This window comes from Homo sapiens, chromosome 1, assembly GCF_000001405.40.
Source record: "Homo sapiens chromosome 1, GRCh38.p14 Primary Assembly".
Lineage (NCBI taxonomy): Eukaryota > Metazoa > Chordata > Mammalia > Primates > Hominidae > Homo > Homo sapiens.
In genome coordinates, this window is record NC_000001.11 from 43,830,985 (window position 1) to 43,856,293 (window position 25,309).

Below are 25,309 nucleotides of genomic sequence, written 5' to 3' on the forward strand. Positions count from 1 at the left end.
GTATAACCTTTCAAAGGGCACTGTGACCCACATTGCTGTAGGTATTCACTGATCTTCCCATCAGCCCTATAAAATGTGCATTACTATAGCTATTTTAAGAGTTAAGGAAACCAGTTGTGTCTTACCTGAGGTTGCACACCTAGTAAGTAGAACTGGTGGCTTAAACTCCAATCTTCTTACCTTAAGCTGATTACACTTTACATCATAGAAAGTAGGGGCTTTGGGAAGAACAGGAGAGAGTTTTGGAGTCAGTTTTCTCTTGTCAAAAATGAAAATAATACTTACCTTAGAGTAGGACTGCTCCAAAGGTAGACAGGGCCCTGGCCAAATAACGTTTTGCAAGGCCTCTGCCTGTATAAACCAGTTGATGGGTCCATGTATGATATATTGACTTACTAAGGATTTAGAACAATGGGTAGAGAAGAGATACTTATGTATTTGTTATCCAATCAGTGCATATGAAAATTCCTTTTGCTACCCAGACACCACCAACTCTTTCTGTTCAGGTTCAGGAACCATCTCTGTGTTTTCTATTGTCAAATGTATCATTGCTGGAAAGTTTCATATCTCCTGCCACAAACAACAAGTATCTGTATTATTAGTACTCAATGCCATGGCTTTTTGGAAACTGTTTTGTGGAAACAGTGATCTTCTCCCTTCATTTCTCCAGTACCATTCAGCTCATGCTGGATACATCATTTCATGAGGCTGCGCTATCCTTCCTGAGACCTGGGAGTATCTCAAAGATGGGACTGCTTTGTTGGTCATGAACACACACCAGTGTCAGAGAGTGCAGGGAAAGTGTAAATGGTAATTTGTTTTCTGGTCATATTAAATGTATCATTTGACATTTTATAGTGTAAACAGAACAGTGCATCTTCTAACCATGGCTTCTCCTGGACTCCTTCAGCCCCATATGCCTGGGTCTAAGGGAGGTACTACTTTGTAGAGGATTGTTGTAAAGCTGAATTAGATCATTAGATCCGCTGTCTGGTGCCTGGTTTGTGCTCAGTGAATGTTACTTCTCTTGTGTCTTTCACTACCACCCAGAAAGAGGATGTGTTTTTATTTTTAAGGAAATAAAGTGTGGAAGCAAAATTGAATTGGAGAGTCACAGCAGATCTCTGGTGGAGTGCCTCCGTGAAAATTGTCTGTTGAAGCACTTGGAGAACTTAGTGGGGAGCATCCCTCCAGCTAAGAGGAAATAAATTACAAGGCTCTGGAGACAAATGTAACCTGGAGTTAATGTCAGCTCCACAATCACTGATCAAATAGGAAGGTGGCCTGGTTTGATGAAAAGGTATTGCAGTGCCTAGCAGCAAGAGCAGAAAGGCAGGGCCTCCGGAGCTGAGAAATACCACAAGTTTCAGATGGCTCAGATCAAGCAGTCCCTTTTTTCTTAAAGTGATAGAAGACATTTGACAGTGCTTCAGCATTTGTCGTAGATGGCTGTACACGTATCATGATGGCAAAAGCTGTAGAGAAACCTGAGTCTACATTGGAAGCCACAAAGAGCAAAGAGTCAGTGATGTCTAGGGTAGAATGGATTGGCACAGCCCACATGTGGGTAGATGATGAAACTGGTGACAATGCAAGCAAGACCCAGCAGACCTTGGAGTAACAGGTCAGACAGGTGGCAGTCAGAGGAGACAGAAGTTGTCCTTAAGGAGAAACATTTCCATCTTGGGGCTTGAGAGGATCTATGGCAGTAAAGGCTATTTCAAAAAAAAAATTAAAGTGAAAATATTTAATGACAGAATAGGATTACTCAAGCTAGGCGAAGCTGCTTCTGCCATTTCCCTCCTCATGTCATTATCCCAGAAACAACTCTCTAGTACTTGGAGAAAGGCATCCTCATGAGGAAGGTAGAAGATGGAATTGAAGAATTCCCTCCTCTGTGGATGGAAAGAGCTCTGTGTAGAGAGGCTCATCTGCACGCTCATGCATGTCCCCCTAGCATGGTAACACTGGCTTTGATTAAGCTGCTGGGTTGTTAGGCAGTGTGCTAAGTGCTGCCTACATGGTCTTCTTTTCTCATAAGGAATGCTTTAAACTAAATTAGCACATGAAACGAGGGAGCAGGCATGGTAGGGGCTGATCTGAGTCCAGTCCTCTCTGAGATGGTTCTAGAAACTAGACTGATGGTTACACAATGTCCATCACTGATCTGTAGAGTCCTCAGGAATCACTGTCAATGACTCTTCCCCAGTTTCCCTGGCCATCACCCCACTTCCCCCTTACACTTCCTGTTGATTAACCTTCCAAGGCAAGGTAACCAACTGATTTCAGTCCAGCATTTTATTGGGTACTTGTATATTCTGTGCCATACATGCTTTGCTAAAATGATCATATTCTATGAGAGAAAGATATTTAAATGGACAATTACTCTTCAGTGTAATGGAGTGTAATGCTAGGCCTTAACTATGTCCTAGTCATCATTGTATCCTTAATCCCAGGCCAGTTAGTTAGCATGTACTGAGCACCAGCGAGGGGCCAGACACCGTACTCAGTGCCAGCCCTTCTTTCTCAGCATAACTCTTAACAAAAAAATTTTATAAAGTAAGTACTAGTATAATCCCACTTTTAAAGATGTGCAAATTAAGGGCACAAAACAATTTAAAAGACATGCCCCAAATCACACAGCTATTAAGAGAGCCAGGATAAAAATCCAAGCAGAGTGACTCTATTGTCTCTAAATATTTGTTGCCTGTGGAAATGAGAGGCAGAAAGGGGAAGGCGGTAGGAGAATGGGGGAACAAGTGAGCAAGTGAAGATGAAGGTCTGCCCTAGGTGGCGCAGGTCCACAGGGGGATGGGTTCTACCTGAGAAGGGAAGTATCATGGAAAGTTCGCAAGGGAAGTGGTGCTTAGAAAATAGGCATCCCTGGCCAAGGCGGGCTAAGGGAGCAGAGCTAAGGCCAGCCCTTCCAGTTTTGCGCTAGATCCTTTCCCCCTCCGCCTTCTCACAGGCATTCTCCCCCAACCTGGCCAACATGGTGAAACCTTGTCTCTACTAAAAATGCAAAAATTAGCCGGGCGCGGTGGCAGGCGCCTGTAACCTCAGCTTCTCGGGAGGCTGAGGCAGGAGAATCACTTGGACCTCGGAGGTGGAGGTTGCAGTGAGCCGAGATCATGCCACCACACTCCAGCCTGGGCAACAGAGTGAGACCCCGTCTCAGAAAACAAACACAACAAAAAGAAACATTCTCCCTACAACTGTCCTATCTCTACTGCATTGTGAGTTTTTCTTTTATTCTAACCAGCTTGTAAACTTGGGGAAATATTTCCTAACCTCAAAAAACACTTTACCCTGCTTCCCCGCTCCGGCTATTGCCCCATTTCTTTGTTCCTTTGTAGCAGAACTCCTAAAAATAGTCTGTGTTTCATGACTTCAGTTTGTCTCTTCCTGTTTTCTCTTAAACCCAGTGAAACGAGTTTCACCTCCACATTCCAGTGGAATGGCTGTTGTTGAGGTTGGTGGTGACCTCCCTGTTGCCGAATCCAGCATTTAGTCCTGTGGCCACACCTTACTGGACCTCCACAGTGTGTGACGCAGTTGGTCTCTGCGTCCTTCCTAAGACACTTCGTTGACCACAGCCTCACACTCTCCTGCTCTTTCAGCCTCCTGCAGTGCTACTCCTCATCTCCCAAATGCTGATCCTTCAGACACACGTCAGCCAGGGCACCCTCCCACTAGATATCATGTGGTGACTCTCCCTGTGGTTGGATCTGAACCCGAGCCAGGCGCTTATGGCAGCCACGCGTGTCACACAGCATGTGTGTCCCCTCCAAATGTGCTCCCTCACCACATCCTGATGCGATTCTTGGAATTACATGGTTTCCACTGCACATGGGGAAGTTGAAAATCAGATTTTCCATCACTTGCTTGTCAGTGTCCTCTGTGACAGTTTCTGATTCCAGATCTGATGCTTTTTCCATTTATGACCCATTGCTTGGCCTGATTCCTTAAACTCAGTCCTTCTGAGTGAAGCAGGAGAGTGGAAGCGTCTGGTTCCTTCTTTGGGGCTCCAGCCTGTCCATCTGGATTTCCTCTTGTGAGTGCAGTGGTAACACTCTTCACCCCAGGGGCTTGGTAGTCACGTTTGCAGGACAATGGGTGCTCTTACTGGGTTTAATGCTAAATCTCCCAAAATGAAAGGCCAGCTGCAGAGTAGGAGAAGAACAAGGGCTGAGTGATTTGATCAGACATCTGTGGGGGCCTGCTGGCATTTGGAGTGTGAGTGCCTTAGAGAGACTGACTATTCTGGCCCCAGGGAGTTGGCGACCGTTAATCTTGGTGGTTTTGACCGCTAACTGCCCCAGAGGTCCCAGCCTGCTGGATGACTCAGAATCCCCAACACTCCCCCTATTCTTCTCTCACTGGGATAGTCAGGAGGCCATTTCTAAGGCATTTTAATTTGGTAATAACTTGACATGACCCACTGTACCCAGAGTTGTACGTTTTAGGAGTTACTGTCGCTTTCTAAATGAGGGGTTGATTTGGAGCCCATCATCCTTGATATTGGACTGCCTTCCACTGCCATGGAGAGAGCAGTATCTCCTGCCTTGCCTGCTGGGCTCCAGCTCCCTCTCCATTGTAGATGACGTGATCCTGTGCCCCCTGGACTGTCCCACAGCCCTTATTCTTTAAGTACCTTGCCAAAAGTTGATGGGGTAAACTAGAGAGAAAAGAGGTGGCCAAAGGTCTGTCTGTTGTTCATTTATTTCTGCACTGCACTGTGTTAAGAAGGGCACCTGCTGTCCATCTTTCTGCTGTTTATGAAACTTTCTGGAATTCAGAAAGACCACAGGAACTCACAGCACAAGGCAGGCAAGCAGATGGTGGGGACTGGGGACAGGACATGAAGAGACTCAAAATGCCTTACTGCCGCAGACCAAAGCTGTGTGAGGCCTTCTGGACTGTCTTCTCCACCCCGTGTCTGACTGTGTTGACCACTCCTGTGCTGTCCTGTGCCTTCCTCCGTGACCGTGTTGGTGGCAGTGCCCTGTTAAGAGTTCCTCCACTGGTGTTAGAGACCTTGGGTTCTAATCCAGTGTCTACCACTTGTATGATCTTGGATTAGTCTCTTCATCTTTCTAGGCCTTGTGTGTAAATTAATTCATAGCACCAACTCACAGAGTTGTTGAGAGAGCTAACTGAAAACATCTAGAACGTTTTTGTCACTGTGCCTAGTCAAAAAGCTTCTAGTCAGTTCTGTAATTGCACTGAGGTTTATATTTCATTTCAAAAATACAGTTGTTTACATAAGAAAATATTGTTTTTCTCTTGTTAGACTTTTGGCTTTCTTTTGCCTACCAAATAAAGTCCCAACTCCTTGGCTTGTCACTCAGCCTTCAGATTTGCATTTCAGGCTTTGAATTTCCGTGGTGGGGGATGCTTGAAAATGTAGATTTCTAAAAGAAATTGTGCATTGATCAGATGAGTTTGTGTTCAATGAGCAGTTACTCTGTGTAAGGCTCTGGGCTAGGCCCGAGGGGTCTGTGGTGAATCAGACATGACACACACTAGGCAGTGGCATCATCATTTCTGGTACCACCACCCCACACCCACCCAGTCCAGACCCTGCAGAAGGCAGCCTGGAGGGTAGGCTTGCCACAGGGCCCCAGCACAGTAGAGCAGCTGGGCACCAGAGTTTTGGCAGCAGGCCCAAGGGTGGGGGTGGAGGAGGTGGGGACTCAGAACTGGCAGCCAGCCAGGGCTCACTCAGGTGCCCCAGCATGCAGGGCCTCCAGCCCCGGCAGTCACGGAGCCCATTCACTGACTATATCCTGTTCTTTGGCTGTGATCTTCTCTAGACTGCATAGTGCAGAGATTTTGGTGGCAGGGCAGTGACTCCAGACCCACATTGAACGCATAAGACGTTGAAACCCAAAGATGTGAGGTGGCATGATTATGGTCACACAGCAACAGGCCAGGATTAGAACACAAGTCTTCTGAAAAATATGTAGCAGTCTCAGCCTTGTGGGTTCCTTGAGATTGCCTTGTCTGCCGTGAGACTGTCAGGGTCATTTTGTTCCTTAAGAAAGTTTTAGGGGTCTTCTTTGTGCCCATTTATGCAAGGCACTGGAGAGGGTAGGCAGGGTTAAATCAGCCTCTGACCTTAGGAATTTACAGTGTATCAAGGGAGACATACTACCAAAAATTACAATACAGAATAGCAAGTGCTGGGGGTAAGTATATGATGTGAGGGGAAGGGGGAGTGACTATACAAGCACAGAGGAGGCACTTAGCCCAATCCGAGGGTCAGGGAATCACTCCCAGTGAAGCTGATATTTAAGCTTAATCATGAAGGACCAATAGTTGTTAGCCAGATGAAGAAGGACAAGGAATAACATTCCAGGCAGAGAGAGGAAACCATCCTCAACTAAAAGTCTAATGGTTATGTCAGTAGCCCCAGTGACATAATTTATCGTGTCTATATTCGGTCACTGTTCGGGACAGTTCCCACTACTGGGGAATGGTTCCCACTGGATGGATCATAGCCTGAGTGGAGAGAATAAAAGCAGATGAGGCTGGCCATGTAGGAACATACAAGGAAGGTGGAAAGGCCAGGGGCTCTGAGTATCAAAGCCTGAGTAGCTGTATTCTATGAACTCCAAGCACCACTCCCCCGGGTATTGGAGCCTTGATAGAGCTCCTCGTTTCCTTGGTTTCAGGCTTCCTGCAAAGAATTATGAGTTTGAGCTGGGCACAGTGGCTCAATGCCTGTAATCCCAACACTTTGGGAGGCCAAGGCGAGAGGATCGCTTGAACTCAGGAGTTTAAGACCTGCCTGGGCAACATAATGAAACCCTGTCTCTTAAAAAGAAATCTGTGAGAATCCAGTTAAGTTCCTTTTACAGATACCATCCAGGGGCCTGACTTATTTATCTATCTATTCCTTTAGGGTTGGGGATTTGTTTTGTTTTTACCCTTAAAGCCTTAATGTGGAAAAGTGCCTGAAGTGCTGATTGTAGGGAATGAAACTTGATTCAAGGTTTAAACACCTTATCCCAGCCACTCGGGAGGCTGAGGCAGGAGAATGGCGTGAACCCGGGAGGCGGAGCTTGCAGTGAGCCGAGATTGCGCCACTGCACTCCAGCCTGGGCAACAGAACGAGACTCCGTCTCAAAAAAAAAAAAAAAAGGGTTAAACACCTACAGCTCCTTATGAATTAATAACCCACTCAGTGCTCAGTGCCTGGCAAGCTGTAACTTTCCTTCTCTTCCCATAGGCCTGCTGAATTAGCCACCAAGTACGCAAACTTTTCAGAGGGAGCTTGCAAGCCTGGCTATGCTTCAGCCTTGATGACGGCCATCTTCCCCCGGTAAGTGCTCCTGTTTCCCTCCACTGCCTAGACAGCCTGGTCTGGGGTCCAAGAGCCAGAAACTCTGCCTCTCACAGCCAGTCATGTTCTCCTATGCTCTGGAAACCATGGGTTCCTGGAAAGGACTCTGCCTTTAAGTTGGTTCCTACTCCAGTCCTACTCCATGCCGTTGCTTTGCCTTACTCCCATCCTGCCTCTGGAGCTTGCACCTTGTGGCACAGCCTGTTTCTGCAGAAGGATAACCTACATGGTTGCCGCATGCAAGCCAGGTATCCAGAGGCAGCCAGAGAAGGCTGCCAAGCACAGAAGCTCCTAGACCTAGTATCAGTGGCCAAAGAAACTTTTTTGGAAGCTTGGACCAACTAGCTGGCTTCAGGGAGGCATATCCAAATAAAGCAGGGAACAAAGAGAAATTTCTGAGGCTGTCTTGAGTTTTAGCACTTTCCTTCTCTGTCCATTTTGCATTCTGGAGCTGCTGACTTCTTTGGCACCTGAAAGAATCTGTGCATAACCCAGGGAGTTCCTTTTACCGAATGCTGCTAAGGGGTCTTGCTTACTGATCCACCTTCTCCTTTTTGGTTTTCTTTTCTGAAGCCTTGGTGTGGAAAAGGAGCTGAAGTGCTGAGATTGTCTTTGGAGTGCAGTGAGACTGTCAGGGTCATTTCGTTCCTTCTGATTTGGAGGGGCTGAAGGAAAGGCTGCCTAGGATTGTCTGGGCACTTGGACCACCAGAGGAGTGCTAGGGGTGGGCTCTGCTCACTGGGGGAAGGACTTGCCTCCCATCCCTTAGAAGGCTGAGGTTAGGACACGTAATGTGCTTGCAAAGGAATGCTGAGAAACAGCTCGCCCCAAAGTGACTCCGGTATATTTGGTTTTTATGCTCCCTTTCTTTTCTAACGTGAGCAGTCTCAGCTTAGCTCCTTGTGTAAAGCAAGGGCTATGCTGGCTGAGTATCTGGTGCTCAGATAGAGATCTCTTTGTCCAGGGTCTGCCTTCTGAATTGATTCCAAATATTTTGCTTCCTCCAGCTATTTATTGAGTGCCCCTGTGTCTGGCTTTTTGTGTTCTGTATTCTTAACACAGGTTTTTGCAAGCCTATACGACTCAGTCCTTAGCCCAGACACTTGTGAGTTTTCCTTTACCAGTATATAGGTTTCGTTTGCTTTTTCTAATTGAAAGTAATACAGGCATGTGGAAACAAAACAAAACAAAAAAACCTCAAACAGTACAAAAGGTTATATACTGCCACTCCAGACTCCTTCCCCAGAGACAGCCAATATTACCAAAAGTGGGAACATAACTGTATTTAATATTCTGTACTGTGTATTAGGCCGTTCTTGCATGTCTATGAAAAAACATCTGAGACTGGGCAAATTGTAAAGAAAAGAGGTTTAATTGGCTTATGGTTCATCAGGCTTTACAGGAAGTATGGTGCTGGCACCTGCTTCACTTCTAGGAAGGCCTCAGGAAACTTAAAATCATGCCAGAAAGCAAAGGGGGAGCAGGCACGTCATATGGCAAAAGCAGGAGCAAGTGAGTGAAGGAGAGAGAAAGAGAGGAAGTGCTACGCACTTTTAAACAACCAGATCTCACAAGAATTCACTCATTTTCACAAGAACAGCACCAGGGGGATGGTGCTAAGTCATTCATGAGAGACCACCGCCATGATCCAGTCACCTACCACCAGGCCCCATTGGAGATTACATTTTTTTCCCTTCCTTTTTTTTTTTTTTTTGAGACAGGGTCTTGCGGTGTTGCCCAGGCTGGAGTGCAGTGGTGCGATCTTGGCTCACTGCAGCCTTGACCTCCGGGCTCAAGCAATTAGCCACCTCAGCCTCCCAAGTAGTTGGGACTCCAGGCGCATGCAACCACACGTGGCTAATTTTTGTATTTCTGGTAGAGGTGGGGTTTTGCCATGTTGCCCAGGCTGGTCTCAAATTCCTGGGCTCAAGCGATCCACCCACCTTGGCCTCCCAAAGTGCTGGGATTACAAGTTTGAGCCACTGAGCCTGTCTGGGGATTACCTTTCAACATCAGATTTGGGCAGGGACAAATATTCAAACTGTATCATTTTGTCCCTGGCCTCCACAAATCTTATGTCCTTCTCACATTTCAACATACAGTCATCCCTTCTCAATAGTCCCTGCGAAATCTTAACTCATTCTAGCATTAACTCAAAAGTCCTACTGTGGTCCTGTGATCTCGCCCTGCTTCCACTTGCCTTGTGATATTCTATTACCCTGTTAAGTACCTGATGTCTGTCACCCACACCTATTTGCACACTCCCTCCCCTTTTGAAAATCCCTAATAAAAACTTGCTGGTTTTTGTGGCTTGTGGGGCATCACGGATCCTACCAACGTGTGATGTCTCCCCCGGATGCCCAGCTTTAAAATTTCTCTCTTTTGTACTCCGTCCCTTTATTTCTCAAGCTGGCCGACGCTTAGGAAAAATAGAAAAGAACCTACGTGATTATCAGGGCAGGTCCCCTGATACTAAGTCCCAAATCTAAATTCTTATCTGGAAATGAGTTCCTTTCACCTATGAGACTGTAAAATCAAAACAAGTTGCTTACTTTCGAGATACAATGGGGGTATAGGCATTGGGTAAACATCCCATTCCAAAAAGGGGTAATCAGCCATAAGAAAGGGGCTATACGCCCCATGCAAGTTTGAAACCCAGCAAGGCAGTCATTAAATCTTAAAGCTCCAAAATTATCTCTTTTGACTCTGTGCCCCACATTCAGGGCACACTGGTGCAAGAAGTGGGCCCCCAAGATCTTGGGCAGCTCCGCCCCTGTGGCTTTGCAGGGTGCAGCCCCTGTGGCTGCTCTCATGGGCTGGCGTTGAGTGCCTGAGGCTTTTTCAGGTGCAGGGTGTAAACTGCTGGTGGATCTACCATTCTGGGGACTAGAGGATGGTGGCCCCCTTCTCACAGCTCCACAAGGCAGTGTCCCAGTGGGGACCCTGTGTGAAGGCTCCAATCCCATGTTTCCCCTCCACACTGCCCTAGTAGAGGTTTTCTGTGAGGGCTCCACTCCTGCAGCAGGCTTTTGCTTGGGAAGCCAAGCTTTTCCATACATCCTCTGAAATCTAGGTGGAAGCATCCAAGAATCCTCCATTCTTGCACTCTGTGCACTCTTAATACCACATGGAAGCTGTCAAAGTTTACAGCTTGCATTCTTCAAAGTGGCAGCCTGAGCTGTACCTTGCCCTTTTTGAGACATGGCTAGAGCTGGAGCCGCCAGAATGTGGGGAGCAGTGTCCTGAAGTTGCATAGGGGTGAGGCCCTGGGCCTGACCCATGAAACCATTTTTGTCTCCTGGGCCTCAGGAACTATGATGGAAGGGGCTACCTCAATAATCTCTAAAATGCCTTTGAGGCTTTTTCCCTATTGTCTTAGATATTAGCATTTGGCTCTTTTTTAGTTATGCAAATGTCTCTAGCAAGTGGTTACTCCACAGCCTGCTTGAATTCCTCTTCTGAAAAAGCTTTTTCTTTCTTTGCCATGTGGCTTGGCTGCAAATTTTCCCAATTTTTATGCTCTGCTTCCCTTTTAAATATAAATTCCAACTTTAAGTCATTTACTTGCACCTGTATCTGAGTGTAAGCTGTTAGGAGCAGCCAGTCATATCTTGAATGCTTTGCTGCTTAGAAATTTCTTCTGCCAAATATGCAATCATCACTCTCAACTTCAAACTTCCACAGATTCCTTGGGAAAGGGCACAATGCAACCAAGCTGTTTGCTAAGGCATAACATGTTATGACCTTTGCTCCATTTCCCAATGAGTTCCTCATTTCAATCTGAGACCTTGTTGGCCTAGATTTCATTGGCCATATCCCTATCAACATTTTGGTTACAACCATTTAACCAGTCTCTAAGAAGTTCCAAACTTGCTCTCATCTTCCTGTCTTCTTGTGAGCCCTCCAAACTCTTCCAACCTCTATCCATTACCCGGTTCCGAAGTCACTTCCACATTTTTAGATATCTTTCTAACAATACCCTACTCCTGGTACCAATTTTATGTATTAGGCCATTCTTGCATTGCTACAAAAAAAAAATCTGAGCTCTCCATTTGCCTTCTGCCATGATTGTAAGCTTTCTGATGCCTCCCTAGGAGGTAAGCAGATGCCAGCACCACTCTTCCTGCAGAACTGTGAGCCAATTAAACCTCTTTTCTTTATAATTTACCCAGTCTCAGATATTTTTTTTAGAGGCCGGGCATGGTGGCTCACACCTGTAATCCCAGCACTTTGGGAGGATGAGGCGGGCGGATCACGAGGTCAGGGGATCAAGACCATCCTGGCTGACATGGTGAAACCCCGTCTCTACTAAAAATACAAAAAATTAGCTGGGCGTGGTGGTGTACACCTGTAGTCCCATCTACTTGGGAGGCTGAGGCAGGAGAATCGCTTTAACTTGGGAGGCGAAGGTTGTAATGAGCCGAGATCACGCCACTGCACTCTACACAAAGCAAGACTCCATCTCAAAAAAAAAAAAAAAAAAAAAGTTTACATTCACTTTTTGCACATGGATGTTCAGTTGTTCCAGAACCATTTGTTAAAGACTCTGCTTTCTCCATTGAATTACCTTGGCATGTTTGTTGAAAATCAGTTGAACATGTATGTGTAGGTCTCCTTCTGGACTCCCTAGTCTATTCTGTTGATTTATGACTTTGTGCCAGTACCATTCATACATGGACAGTCTTGTCGTCTGTTACTAAAGACAGTTTTATTTCTTCCTTTTTCATCTATATGTCTCATTCCTTTTTCTTGCCTTACTGCATTGGCTAGACTGTTCAGTGCAGTATTAAATAGGTGAGGTGAGAGTGAACAGCCTTGCCTGTTCCCAGTCTTAGGAGGAAAAGATCTAGTCTTTCACCATTATGGTGTTAGCTGTAGGTTTTTCATAGATACCATTTTTTAGGTAGAGGAAGTTCTCTTCTGTTCCTAGTTTCTTGAGAGTGTTTATCATGAATAGATGTTGAATTTTGTCAAATGCTTTTTCTGCATATTTTGAGAAGATCATATGGCTTTTCTTTTTTAGTCTATTAATATGATGAATTACATTGATTGGTTTTTTCTCATTAATTGATTTTTGAATGTTGAACCAATCTTTCATTTGTAGGATAAACTTCATTTGGTCTTGGTGTATTGTTCTTTTTACACATTGCTCTATTCAATTGGCTAAAATTTTTCAAGGATTTTTGTGTCTTTGGTCATGAAAGATACTGGTCTGTAGTTTTCTTGTGATGTCTTTAGTTTTGGTAATATAGTAATGCTGGCTTCAGAATAAGTGGGAAAATATTTCTTCATCTTTCTACAAATTTTGTGTACAATTGGTAATATTTTTTATGAAATGTTTGATAGAATTCACCAGCAAAATCTAGGCTTGTCTGAAGAAAAGACAGTTTTTTATCTCTATTCTCATGCGCCACTGAACACACTTCTGACACCAGATGTGTGGCAGTTTTTCTCACACATCAAGCAATTCTTCAGCAGACACTAATGGGTGTCCTATAATTCAATTCAATTCTGGCATTATCCACCTGGAGATGGCGTCAGATCCCACAGGTTGACGGCCGAACAAGACTATACCTCACTTCAGATGCTAATCACAAGTAGTAGGTTGTTACCTATACATCTCGCCAACCAGCTATAAGTTGTGAATTCCAAGACCATCCCCTCTTGGGTTTGATCTGTTTGCTAGAGCAGCTCACAGAATTCAGGGAAACTTATGTTTATCCATTTATTATAAAGGATATCATAAAGGATACGGATGAACAGCCAGTTGGAAGAGATGCATAGGGCATGGCATGTGGTAAGTGGTTCACAAGTCTGAAAGCTCTCTGAACCTTGTCCTTTTGGGTTTTTATGGAGGCTTCTATAAACCCTGTGGAGGATTACATAGGCATGATTCATTGCATCATTGACCACTGGTGATCAAATCAACCTTCAGCCCTTTTCCCATCCCCGAGGTCAGAGGGTGAGACTGAAAGTTCCAGCCCTCTAATTGCATAGTTGGTTCCCCTGCCAACCAGCACCCAACATAAGGCTATCCAGAAGTCATCTCATGAGAACAAAAGATATTCCTATCACCCAGGAAATTTGAAGGAATTTAGCAGCTCTCTGTCAGATGTGCTCTTATCAGTCAGGAAATTACAAAGGTCTTAAGAGCTCTGGGTCAGAAACTAGGGTCAGAGACTAGACTAACTATTGGTGGCCGGGCACGGTGGCTTACGCCTGTAATCGCAGCACTTTGGGAGGCCGAGGAGGGTGGATCATGAGGTCAGGAGATCAAGACCATTCTGGCTAACACGGTGAAACCCCGTCTCTACCAAAAATAAAAAAAAATTAGCCGGGCGTGGTGGCGGGCACTACGGTGGCGGGCGCCTGTAGTCCCAGCTACTCTGGAGGCTGAGGCAGGAGAATGGCGTGAACCCGGGAGGCAGAGCTTGCAGTGAGCCAAGATCGTGCCACTGCACTCCAGCCTGGGCGACATAGCAAGACTCCGTCTAAAAAAAAAAAAAAAGACTAGATATTAGAACAAAAGATTCTCTTAGTGCCCCTATCTGTAAGGATTTTTAGGAGCTTTATGTAGGGACCAGGAGCAGAGACCAATATTTGTATTTTTTATTATTTCATAGCCTGCACATCTTTGTAGGAAGGCTTTTGTTGTTGTTTTTGGTTTCTTTTTGAGACATAGTTTCTGTCACTTAGGCTGGAGTACAGTGGTGCAATCTCAGCTCACTGCAACCTCCGCCTCCTGGGTTCAAGCAATTCTTGTGCCTCAGCCTCCCGAGTAGCTGGATTACAGGTGTGCACCACCATGCCCAACAAATTTTTGTATTTTTAGTAGAGATGGTGTTTCGCCATGTTTGCCAGGCTGGTCTCGAACTCCTGGCCTCCAGTGATCTACTGGCCTCAGCTTCCCAAAGTGCTGGAATTACAGATGTGAGCCACTGTGCCTAGCCAGGGAAGTTTTTTTTTATTATTATTATTACAAATTAAATTTCTTTAATTCTAGAGTTATTCAAGTTTTTCTGTTTCTTCTTTAGTAGCATGTCTTTCAAGGAAGTTTTGCCTTTCTTCTAAGTTGTTGAATTTATTAGCATAAAATTGTGTATAATATTCCCTTATTATTATTTTAATGTCTAGGATAGAGACAGAGTCCTCTCTTTCATGCCTGATATTCGTAATTTGCATTTTTTCTCTCTTTTTCTTAAATTCATCTGATTTGAGGTTTATCATTTTTTGTTGATCCTCTCAAATAACTAGCTTTTAGTTCCATTGGTTCTTGTCTATTGATATTTTTTCCACTATATCATTGATTTCTGTGCCTATCTTCATTTTTTATTTTTTCACTTTTCTCTTAGTTGGACTTTAATTTATTATTTGTTTTTTTTTCCTTAGGCTAGAAGGTTAGATCATTGATTTTATTTATTTCTCATATAAACATTGTAATGGTATAAATTTCACTCTATATATTGCATTGACTACATCTTACAAATTTTGATATGTTGTATTTTTATCTTTGTTGAGTTAAAAATATTATCTAACTTTACTCGTGATTTCTACTTCGGCCTATTAGTTCTTTGGAAGTGTTTTTGCTTAATTTCCTAATATTTGTGGGTGTTCCAGATATCTTTGTGTTATAGATTTCTGATTTATTTTTGCTGTGCTCCAAATATACGTTATATGATTTTAATACTTTTAAATTAATTGAAATCTGAGTTATGGGACAAAATATGGTCGATTTTGGTGAATATTCTGTGTGTGCTTGAAAAGAAAATACTTCTGTTTTAGGGTATTCTATAAATGGCAATTAGCTTAGGTTGGTTTATGGTATGTGTCTAGTTTCCTGTATCCTTACTGACTTTCTGTACACTTTTTCTAACAATTACTGACAGAGGGGTAATGAAGTCTTAATTTATCAGTTTTTATTTCATTTGTTTTGAAGCTCTGTCATTTGGTGTGTATACACTTAGGATTGTTGTATCCCATTTCTAATAGATTCCTTCATTATTTTGAAATGTCCCTTTTTCTTATTGATAGTCAAATAATTATTGTTCCAAAATCTTCCTTGTCTGATATTAATAAACCACTCTGGCCTTTATAAAAATAAGCTATATCATGGTGTATGTTTTCCATCCTTTTATTTGGTTGGTGCAAAAGTAATTGGGGTTTTTGCAATTACTTTTGTTTGTGGGAAGGAGCATGTTTATATTTGCCCTTGAGCTGTCCCACGGGTGGTTGGGGAGCAGCCTATCTTTTTAACCTGTTTGTGTCAGGCAGTCCTCCCACCTCAGCCTCTCAAGTAGCTGGGACCACAAACACATGTCACCGTACCCAGCTAATTTTTGTATTTTTTGTAGAGACAAGACTTTGCCATGTTGCCTAGGCTGGTCTCAAATTCCTGTGCTCAAGCAATCTGCCTGCCTCAGCCTCCCAAAGTGCTGGGATTACAGGCATGAGCCACCGTGCTCAGCTTATTTATTTTTGTTTGAAATAGTCAATTATTTAAAATAATTTAAAAATGAGAGTGGAAGGCAACCTACAGAATGGGAGAAAATATTTGCAAATCATATATCTGATAAGAGGTTAATGTTGTCCAGAAAATATAGAGAACTTCTAATACTCAACAACAAGAAAAAAACTGATTTAAAAGCGGGTAGAGAACTTGAATAGACACTTCTCCAAAGAAGATATACAAATGGCCAAAAAGCACATAAAAATGTGCTCAATGTTACTAATCACTAGGGAAATGCAAGTCAAAACCACAGTAAGATACCACCTCACATCCATTAGGATACTATGGCTATTATCCCAAAACCAGAAAATAACAAGTGCTGGCAAGCATGTAGAGAAATTAGAATCCTTGTGCACTCTGTGGGAATGTAAAATGTACAACAACTTTGGAAAACAGGATGCAGTTCCTAAAAACATTGAAAATAGGATTGCCGTATGATCCAGCAATTCCACTTCTGGGTATATACCCAAAATAACTGAAAGCAGGGCTCCAAAGGGTGTTTGTAGCAGGAATTATTCATTATTGCCAAAAAGTAGAAGCAACCTGTGTTCATTGACAGATGAAAGGATAAACAAAATGTGGTATGCATAAGCAGTGGAATGTTACTCAGCCTGAAAATGGAAGGAAATTCTGACACATATTACAACATGAATGAACCTCGAGGACATTATGCTAAATGAAATGAGCCAGTTACACAAAAACAAATATTGTGTGATTCCATTCATATGAGGTGCCTAGAGAAATCAAATTCATAGAGACAGAAAGTAGAATATGGTTTCCATGTGCTGGGAGGAGGGAGGAATGGAGAGTTATTGTTTAATGCATATAGAGTTTCAGTTTTGCAAGATGAAAAACAGCTCTGGATATTGGTTACACAACAGTGTGAAAATAACTAATACTACTGAATTGTACACTTAAAAATGGTTAGGATGGTACATTTTATGTTAGTGTATTTTACTACAATTCAAACATTTTAAAAGTTTTTTTAATGAGAGGGAAAATTCTTTTATATTTACTCACAAAGTTTTCTTTACTGTTGGTCTTTCTTCCTTTGTGTAAATACGTATTTCCATATGGTATCCTCTTTCTTCTGCCTGAAGAACTTCATTTAACATTTCTTGTGGGGCAGGTCCGATGACTGCGAAGTCTTTCAGTGTTGGATTGTCTGAACAAGTCTTTATTTTACCTTCAATTTTGAAAGATTTTTAAAAATGTTTTGGCTAGGTATACACTTCTAGGTTGACAGTACCCTGTTCTCACTTCCACCACCCCTCCCCCACTACCTTAAATATGTAACTCTATTTACTTGCTTCATTCCTGACAAAACGTCTTCTGTCATTCTTACCTATATTCCTTTGTATGTAGTATTTCATTTTCTTCTGGCTGCCTGTTGAGATTTTTCTCTTTACCAGTGGTTTCCAGCAATTTTATTATGGTGTCCCTTGTTGTGGTTTTCTTTTTTTTTTTTTTTTTTTTTTGGCGTAGGGATGGAGTTTTGCTCTTGTTGCCCAGGCTGGAGTGCAATGGCGCGATCTTGGTTCACTGCAACCTCCGCCTCCTGGGTTCAAGCAATTCTCCTACCTCAGCCTCCCGAGTAGCTGGGATTACAAGCATGCGCCACCACACCTGGCTAATTTTGTATTTTTAGTAGAGACGGGGTTTCACCATGTTAGCCAGGCTGGTCTCAAACTCCTGACCTCAGGTGATCCACATGCCTCGGCCTCCCAAAGTGCTAGGATTACAGGTGTGAGCCACCGTGCCTGGCTGTGGTTTTCTTTATATTTATTTGGCTTGGAGTTTATTTAACTCCTCAGATCTGTAGGTTCATAGTTTTCTTGTTTGTTTGTTTTGTTTTATTCTTTGTAATCACATTTGGACCTTGTTTACATATTTTCTCAAATATTTTTTCTGCCTCATCTCCTTTCCCAGGATTCAAATTACATGGATGCTATATTATTTGTCCCACAGGTCACTGATGCTCTGGGTTTTTGTTTTTCAATCTTCTTTCTCTCTCTGCTTCATTTTGGATAGTTTATATTGCTATGTCTTCACATTTATAGCTTTTTCTTTTGTAGCATTTAATCACTTGTTAATCCCACCATGTATATTATTATGTCAAATACTGTGTTTTTAATCTCTGTAGGTTCCATTTAGGTCTTCTTATATCTTCTGTTTCATTTCTTATTATGTTTGTGTTTTCTTCTGCCTTCTTGAACATTTTGAGAGTTATTGGCAAATTGCCCTTCATAGCAGTTTTGGGATTTATGTACCCACATAGTAGTTGATGATGGTGCCATCCTTTGTTTTCTTCTGTTTTACAGTTTTGTTATTTATATTTAAATTATTAATTCATCTATTTTTGGTTTTGTGTGTTAGGAATGAGGTTGAGATCTAGGGTTCTTTTTTTTTTTTCATATGGGTAGCTAGTATTTCTTGGTATTTTGATCACAAAATACTTAAGTAAATTCAAGGTTTTGATTTCTGCAGCATCAATATTTTGACAGAAAAGGACTTGATAAAGCTCTTTTTGATGTGTTAATTTTGAGATGATCTACAAAAACTATTAAATCTTACCTTTTTTAACTTTTTAAGAAATTAGTTTGAGTTCAAATATTTTTGAAATATAAAAATTGTATTTTTAAAGCTATAATTCTTATAGACATTCAGTGGTTAAAAATTTGATTGTGCTTATTAAAAATGGTCGTATATGTTTTGCACTTCAGCTATGTGAAAATAAAGTTTCTTTGGGAAGGTGACATTTGGTTTCCTGATTATGGGAGGGAGTTGGTTATCTCAGGTGGAGCAGGAAAGCCTGGTTGATTCTCACACCAGTATGGGACTGGGATTTCCCAGGATGGAGGGAGGAGACCCTTTCTACACCATACTTTGAACTACTGACAGCAAAACCCTCCCACCATACTGAGTGCACCTTGTGTACACTTGGCTAATGTACACTTCTGATTTACAGCACACAGCAGAAGCTTCAGAGGCGAATTCAGCTCCCCTTTGGCATGCTGCTGGGTAACAAGATAGTAAGAGTGGCAGTGTGTACAAGCTGTGGACAGGAGCATTTCCTCTCTGCTGCAGCAAGGCAAAGGAAAGCCTAGGGAGAGTAAAACACTAGAATCTTTCTAATAGCTCTGCCCTACCCCATGGTCTAAATGATTATGGCCAAGTGGCTACACAGTATTTTTATTTTTCTAGAATAATTATATCCAGCTGTGAGAAAGCCAGGTTCAAATTAAAAACCTGTAATAACCTGTCCCAGAATTAATAACAATGAAACTTAAACAAATTTTGATTTGTGAAGAAAACATGAAAAAAGTCCAAAAGAAAACCCCTCAAAGGAAACAAGTGTCAGTGGGTCCCTTGTGGGGCAGCTTGTACATCTCTCAAGGGGATCCTCCAGCAGGTAGCTTCCTCTGTGGCACCAGGTGCATCCAGGGTGGGCCGGCTCCTTTAGAAGTCAGGCAGGCCAGGCAGAGGGAAGAGAGTGAAGCTCTCAACCTCCTCCTGGAGAGCCTGCACACACCCCTGGTATTTATGCCCTGCTAGTCTCTCCTTGAACTCTTTCAGGGTGGCTCTGATGCCAGCGTTGCTCTGGATCTGCAGGGTTAGCTCTATCCCTCTGTGGATAAAGTGGGCTACCTTTTGGAAGCCTTTTTCCAAAAGTCCAAGAGATGTCAGTGCTGGGTTCCCCAGCCGCAGTCCACTGGGCCGTAGAGTGTTTCTATCATCTGGGCAGGTGTTCTTGTTGCAGGCAATAGAACAGGCTTCTAGGACCTTCTCAGCCCTTCTGCCATCTGTGCCTTTGATTGAATGGAGATCCACGAGGATCAAATGTTTATCAGAACAACCTGTGACTGTTTGGTAGCCCAGCTCCGTCAGTGCCTCAGACAGAGCTCTGCAGTTGGCCACCACATGGTGCTGATAAACTTCAAATTCCAGAGTCATAGCTTGCTTCAGGGCCACAGCAACCCCAGCAATGGTGTGGTTGTGGGGACCTCCCTGAAGGCCAGGGAACACAGCAGAGTTGATGAGAGACTCCAGGTTGTACAGAATCTCTTTGCCAGTCTTGGGATCCATACTTTGCCCTCCTTTCCTGTAGAAGATCGTGCGGACTTGGCAGCCTCTCAGGTTCTTGTGAGTGGTGGTGGCAGTGTTCAAATGGGGAGGGCACCACGCCAGCTGCCACCAGCCTGCTGATATGTGCCATGTCCACCATGAGATACACCCCATTCTCATCTGCAGTTTTTCTGCAGCGGGGCATAGTCCAGGTTTTAGGAGGAGCAGCTGGTTCCTGCACTGATCAGCTTCGGGTGGAAGAGGCGGGTGTTCTCCTCCAGCTGGTCATAGTTGATGTAGCCAGTGTCTGGGTTCACCTTATAGGGCATAGATTCAAAGAAGATGGACGTGGCAGAGATTTTCTTCTTGTCTGTCATGAACCCGTGGGTCAGGTGACCCCCATCTGGCAGGTCCAGGCCCATGATGCACCCATGGGTTTCCACCAGGGCAGTTACACTCAAAGTTTGCAGGGGAGCCTGAGCAAGGCTGGACGTTGACCCCCCAGCACTGTGGGTCCAGCTTATAGGCCTGCAGGGCTCGCTTCTGACAGAGGGTCTCCAGCTCATGAGTAAAGTCAGTCCTGCCTTAGTATCTCTGGCCCGGGTACCCCTCAGAGTATTTGTTATTTAAGCAAGAGCCTAGGGCCTCCAAAACTGCCCAGCTGGCGAAATTCTCCGAGGTAATCAGCTCCAATCCAGCCCTCTGCCGGTACTCTCCTTAATGATGTTGTAAACCTCAACATCGCTGTCTTTGAGGGGCTGCGCCAGCATCTTGTCATGTGAGGACCACAGGTCAGCATCCTTGTGGGCCCTGTTGACTGGCATTGCTATTGCATGGGTCCGAAGCTGCCGGAACACAGCCCCGCACATGTGCCTAGCCTCAGTCCCACGCCGCCACCAGTGCCACCAGAGTCCCAGACCCGCTGACCCAATGCCCTGTACACTGCCACGCACCAGCAACGTGACTGGCCGCACCAACCCCAAATCCCAAACTTGGTGCGGGACTGCTAGTGCTCTGCTAGGTGCACCCCTTGCACCAGGCTTAGGCTTGGCCTAAATCTTACCTTTTTAAAAAAAATCCCCAAATGCTGTGTGAAGCATACATTCTCTTTTCCTATGCTTCACTCTTCCCTGAGCCCACCTAGTCATTGACTCCCATCCCTAGGTGCAGACTAAGGAGCAGGCAGTGTAAAGGAAGGGGTGCTGATGTGCCCACCCGTCCAGACCAGAGTCCTGCTTCTCTGGGAAGCCAGCCTGTTTGCTCTCACACTTTTGTACTCTCTGCTGGGAAGTCCTCCTTTCCTCCCTCGAGTATTGCTCACTTGGATACATCTTCCTCTAATTAGAGAGATGGGGAGGGGATGGCAGTAGGTCCAAAGGAACTCAGATTTACTGAGCACTTGTTTTGCTCTAAATTTTGAGTTAGGTCTTTTGAATCTGTTTGGTCTCATGGAATGCAAAGTCTTCCCTTACCTAGAAATACACTCCATTACTCTTTCCCCTACCCTGTGCACCACCACAGTGCCTCACACATAGCTTTGTTATTGTGTATATAACTATTGGCTGGTATTTCTTCTCCCATAGAGACTGTGAACTTCTCACATAGAGGCATGGTCTATTCATGGCTGCCAACACCTAGCAGAGCCTTTAGCACACAGTAGACACTTGGTATTGGTTTTGTGAGTGGAAATTAATTTCTGCCCTCCAGAGATTGAGAGTGTAAGGATGTGGGAAATGTTGATAAGACACTCTTTTAGTGGAAAGAGTTTCTGAAGAAAACTAATTATTGTGACATATTCCAATATATGATAGATTGAAAGGAGATGAAGATTTGGAGACTGAAAGTTCTCACAGCTTTCTCACTTCACAGGCTATGTGATCTTGGAAAAGTCTGAGCCTTATTTCACTCATTAGTCAAGAGAATGAAATGAGAGGATGTGTCCTGGGGCCATAAATGTTAGATCATTTCAACAACATTTAATGTTAGACACTTAATTAAGTGAATTCTGTTTTCTCAGTGACTTTCATTATAATTAGATAAGTTTTTTTCAGGAAGAAAAATAAAGATCCTAGAGTAAGTCACAGTAAACATTTTGAATGTTTTCTTTAAAAAGAAAAAATATAACTCGTAAAACCTAAATTGACACATAATTGGCATACCCCATTTTCCTGCCAATATTTTGCCTCATACATTTGAATGGCTTTTTGTGCTTTGGTGAAAGACATGATTGAGTGTTGTCTCTTTTAGTTGGTGGCCAGTAGGGCCACTCGGTATTGGGAGAAAGTGAGGCACCTACAGGCTAAACCTGTGGCCAAACAGTTTCAGCAGAAAGCAGAGCCCTAATCCAAGCCACGTCCATGCTGCAGAGTGATACTAGCAGCAGTGACAGTGATAGCTCACACCTACTGATGTTTACTTTGGATCAGGTCCCATGCTGAGATTTTTTCATATTTTTTCTGTTTTAATTCTCCCAACAATCATATAATGAGACTAACCCTTGTTAGTCCAGTTCTAAATATGAGGAAATAAAGGCATAGAGAAGTCAAGCAGTTTGCCCGAGGTCACACAGATAGGAAGTGATAAAACTAGGTTTTGAACCCAAGTCCACATATTTAACAACCGCCTTCTACTTCCTCTCACAGCTGCTGTTTCATGGGCAGGCTGGCTAGTGGCCAAGGTACCGAGGTCTACCAGATGCCTGGTGGTAGCTAATGAGGTGCTGATGTAGAAATGGTTCTCTTACCCAGCTCTACAGAGGAAAACCACACCTCTCTTGAGATGCATTTTGTTTTAGGAAGGCTGGGGTGTGTGGTGTGTATCTGTGACTGTGCGTCTGTGATTCACATACTGCTAAGGAATCATTGCTATGGTCCAAGCTGGCTGAGTTTCCAGAGTGCAAAGATGGCCCTTGAAACTTTGCAGAGCTCTCTGAGGCAGGAAGTCTAGAGAGTTAACACACAGTCCCAGCTGCCTGATTTGGGACGCTTGCATGAGAAGGTACAGGAGACCTATTGCACTGCCCTGGGGACTTTAAAAGCTTGTGGGCTCCTGGCCAGGATAGCTGAGTATCTGGTATCCCCACATTACAAAGCCCCTCTCTCTCTGCCCTTCCAGAAAAAGATCCTGGGATTGTTATCACTACAACACCAGGGAGGGGTAGTAAGATTGAGAGGCGTCCTTGCCAAATTTTGTCCCATACCATAAATTATGGAGAAGAATGGAATACCATCTACTTCTCTACTTCTGCAGAATCGTTGTCCTTCTAGGCTGGGAGCACATTGGGCACCCCCATACCCCTACCAGGAATATGCAAGACTTGCTACAGTTACCTTCTCCGCTTCCTCATGTCCCTCTATGTAGTCTGGCCTCCACTCTCGCTTCTCTCCTCCTCAGAATGCTCTTATCCAGACCACCAAAAAGCACTGACAAATCCGACAGATAGATAGTCTTTCTCTTTTCATGATGTCTCTGAAGCATTTGGCAGTATTGATCTCTTCCTCCATTTTGAAACTCTCTCTTCTCCTTAATTATTTGTTCAAACTCCCTCCCAGTTCTCCTACCTCTCTGTTCCTTCTCAGTCTCTATTGCAAGAGATCTTCTTTTCCTGTGCCCATCCTTAAATGTTGATGTTTGCCTGGTTTCGGTTATAGCTCTCCTCTCTTCTCACTCCACTGCTTTAGCTAACATCATATGTGCTGATGACTCTCAATCTTTTTGCAGCCCACATCTCTACTGATCTCTAGACCCAAATACCCAACTTCCTGCTGGACAGCTCCACTTGGATGACTCAAAAGCATCACAAGCTCAGTGTATCCAACGCACCGAATTTCCAACAAATCTAATCAGCCTATGTTCTTATTTCAGGAAATGGCACCACTATCCATTCTCACCCAAACAAGACATCTGGGAGTAATTCTTTTCCCTTCCCCTCTTAACCAGATATCTAATGAGTCGTCAAGTCCTGGCACTTGTGTACTGTCTTCTTTCCGAGGTCAGTTCCTTCCCCTGAGCCCTGATTCTCCAACCTCTCCCACCTCTGCAGGAACCTGGATCTTCATTCTCTTCACTGGTTCCTTCTTATCACTATTTAATCATATTCAGGTCTCTCTCATCTCTTAAAAAGTTGCCACATTGATCCTATTATTCTGTAAACTCATTCAACAAAGTGCCAGATATTTTTCTAGGTGGTATAGCTTCAGCACTGCATAAGTTACATAAAACCTCTCCCCTCAGAGATCTTACATTCCACTGGCAGACACAGATAACCCACGCACATAAAGTGTCACGCCATTTTTAGAGCACCTACCGTGTGCCAGACACTGTATTTCATTACTTCATTTAGCCTTTACAATGGGAGCGGATCATAATTCCAAAAGACACAATCATGAACACCATAGTCCCAAATGCTGAAATCCTAAAAGATCAGCCAGGCGCAGTGGCTCACGCCTGTGATCCCATCACTTTGGCCGGCCAAGGCGGGTGGATCACCTGACGTCAAGAGTTCGAGACCAGCCTGACCAACATGGCGAAACCCCATTTATACTAAAAATACAGAAATTAGCCAGTCATGGTGGTGGGCACCTGTAATCCCAACTACTCGGGAGGCTGAGGCAGGAGAATCGCTTGAACCTGGGAGGCGGAGGTTATAGTGAGCCGAGATCACACCATTGCATTCCAGCCTGAGCGACAGAGCAAGACTCTGTCTCAAAAAAAAAAATTAAATTAAATTTAAAAAAAAAGGAAATCCTAAAAGATGAGAATCCCAAAAACTCTAAAACCCTGAAAATCACAATTCTGAAGGATTAAAATCTTGAAAACATCATTCTGGAAAAAATAATTTTTAAAATTTTTAAAAATATATTTATTTACATTCTTAAAAGGGGATTTATTTGATAAACATAAAAACATTACAGAACATAGGCCACTTTACACAATGAAACGGGCATTAATAACATACACATTTTATTGCCTAGCATAAACAGGTATACTAACGACAGGCATGAACAGGTTACTAATGACAGTCACATGGATATAACAGGAACAGGCAAACTGTTCATAAAGAAATAGGTACAAAGGGAAACGTATAAACACATTTCACTATAGTTGATAATTGTGTACACCCAGGTTTACAACTGCGGTCATCTGAAATACTGTGACAGACATCTGAAATACCATGACTGATCTCGTCACATTCTTTTATCAAGATCAGTCAAAAGCCACAGTGGGTCACTACTGCATATGCAGTTGTCCAAAGAGCCAAGATCTTAAGAAATTTTATCTTTCACAAATGCATGTATACAAAAAGGACATCTCTTATCAAGGAAGTTTCAGTGTTTTTACATACACACACAATCGTTACACATAAAGTCAATGTGATAATGCACTTTTAT

The 25,309-nt window shown here is 43.6% G+C and overlaps 1 protein-coding gene, 1 non-coding gene and 1 pseudogene across 64 annotated transcripts in view, besides 4 other annotated features; 2 read left to right on the forward strand and 1 right to left on the reverse strand.

Annotated features, from left to right (window-relative positions):
- Positions 1-25,309, forward strand: part of ST3GAL3 (ST3 beta-galactoside alpha-2,3-sialyltransferase 3) — a 223,624-nt gene that overhangs the window by 123,449 nt on the left and 74,866 nt on the right. For 59 of the 63 annotated variants that reach the window (NR_073021.3, NR_073018.3, NR_146867.2 and 56 more), the window contains one exon: positions 7,235-7,327. The exons of 3 other annotated variants lie outside the window; for them this stretch is intronic. Coding sequence is in view for 45 of the 60 variants with exons in the window: in XM_047428200.1 (XP_047284156.1) it covers positions 7,235-7,327 (93 nt within the window). In the remaining 15 variants the exon portion in view is untranslated. Of the gene's footprint in view, positions 1-136; positions 811-7,234; positions 7,328-25,309 lie in introns of those variants that run through there. One more of the 63 variants, XM_011541980.4, reaches the window with a different exon arrangement.
- Positions 3,183-3,950: an enhancer, noted in NCBI's record as "OCT4-NANOG-H3K27ac-H3K4me1 hESC enhancer chr1:44299839-44300606 (GRCh37/hg19 assembly coordinates)". NCBI's record gives its function as "activates a minimal SCP1, AML or CMV promoter by ChIP-STARR-seq in primed H9 embryonic stem cells {active_cell/tissue: H9 hESC(primed)}" and the evidence as "EXISTENCE:reporter gene assay evidence [ECO:0000049][PMID:30033119]".
- Positions 3,951-4,718: an enhancer, noted in NCBI's record as "OCT4-NANOG-H3K27ac-H3K4me1 hESC enhancer chr1:44300607-44301374 (GRCh37/hg19 assembly coordinates)". NCBI's record gives its function as "activates a minimal SCP1, AML or CMV promoter by ChIP-STARR-seq in naive and primed H9 embryonic stem cells {active_cell/tissue: H9 hESC(naive and primed)}" and the evidence as "EXISTENCE:reporter gene assay evidence [ECO:0000049][PMID:30033119]".
- On the forward strand, positions 7,638-7,699 carry MIR6079 (microRNA 6079). The gene has a single exon (NR_106727.1). It is a non-coding gene; the product is annotated as a microRNA 6079 (primary transcript).
- Positions 9,698-10,686: an enhancer, noted in NCBI's record as "OCT4-NANOG-H3K27ac-H3K4me1 hESC enhancer chr1:44306354-44307342 (GRCh37/hg19 assembly coordinates)". NCBI's record gives its function as "activates a minimal SCP1, AML or CMV promoter by ChIP-STARR-seq in naive H9 embryonic stem cells {active_cell/tissue: H9 hESC(naive)}" and the evidence as "EXISTENCE:reporter gene assay evidence [ECO:0000049][PMID:30033119]".
- Positions 10,687-11,675: an enhancer, noted in NCBI's record as "OCT4-NANOG-H3K27ac-H3K4me1 hESC enhancer chr1:44307343-44308331 (GRCh37/hg19 assembly coordinates)". NCBI's record gives its function as "activates a minimal SCP1, AML or CMV promoter by ChIP-STARR-seq in naive H9 embryonic stem cells {active_cell/tissue: H9 hESC(naive)}" and the evidence as "EXISTENCE:reporter gene assay evidence [ECO:0000049][PMID:30033119]".
- Positions 18,437-20,968, reverse strand: SHMT1P1 (SHMT1 pseudogene 1; annotated as a pseudogene).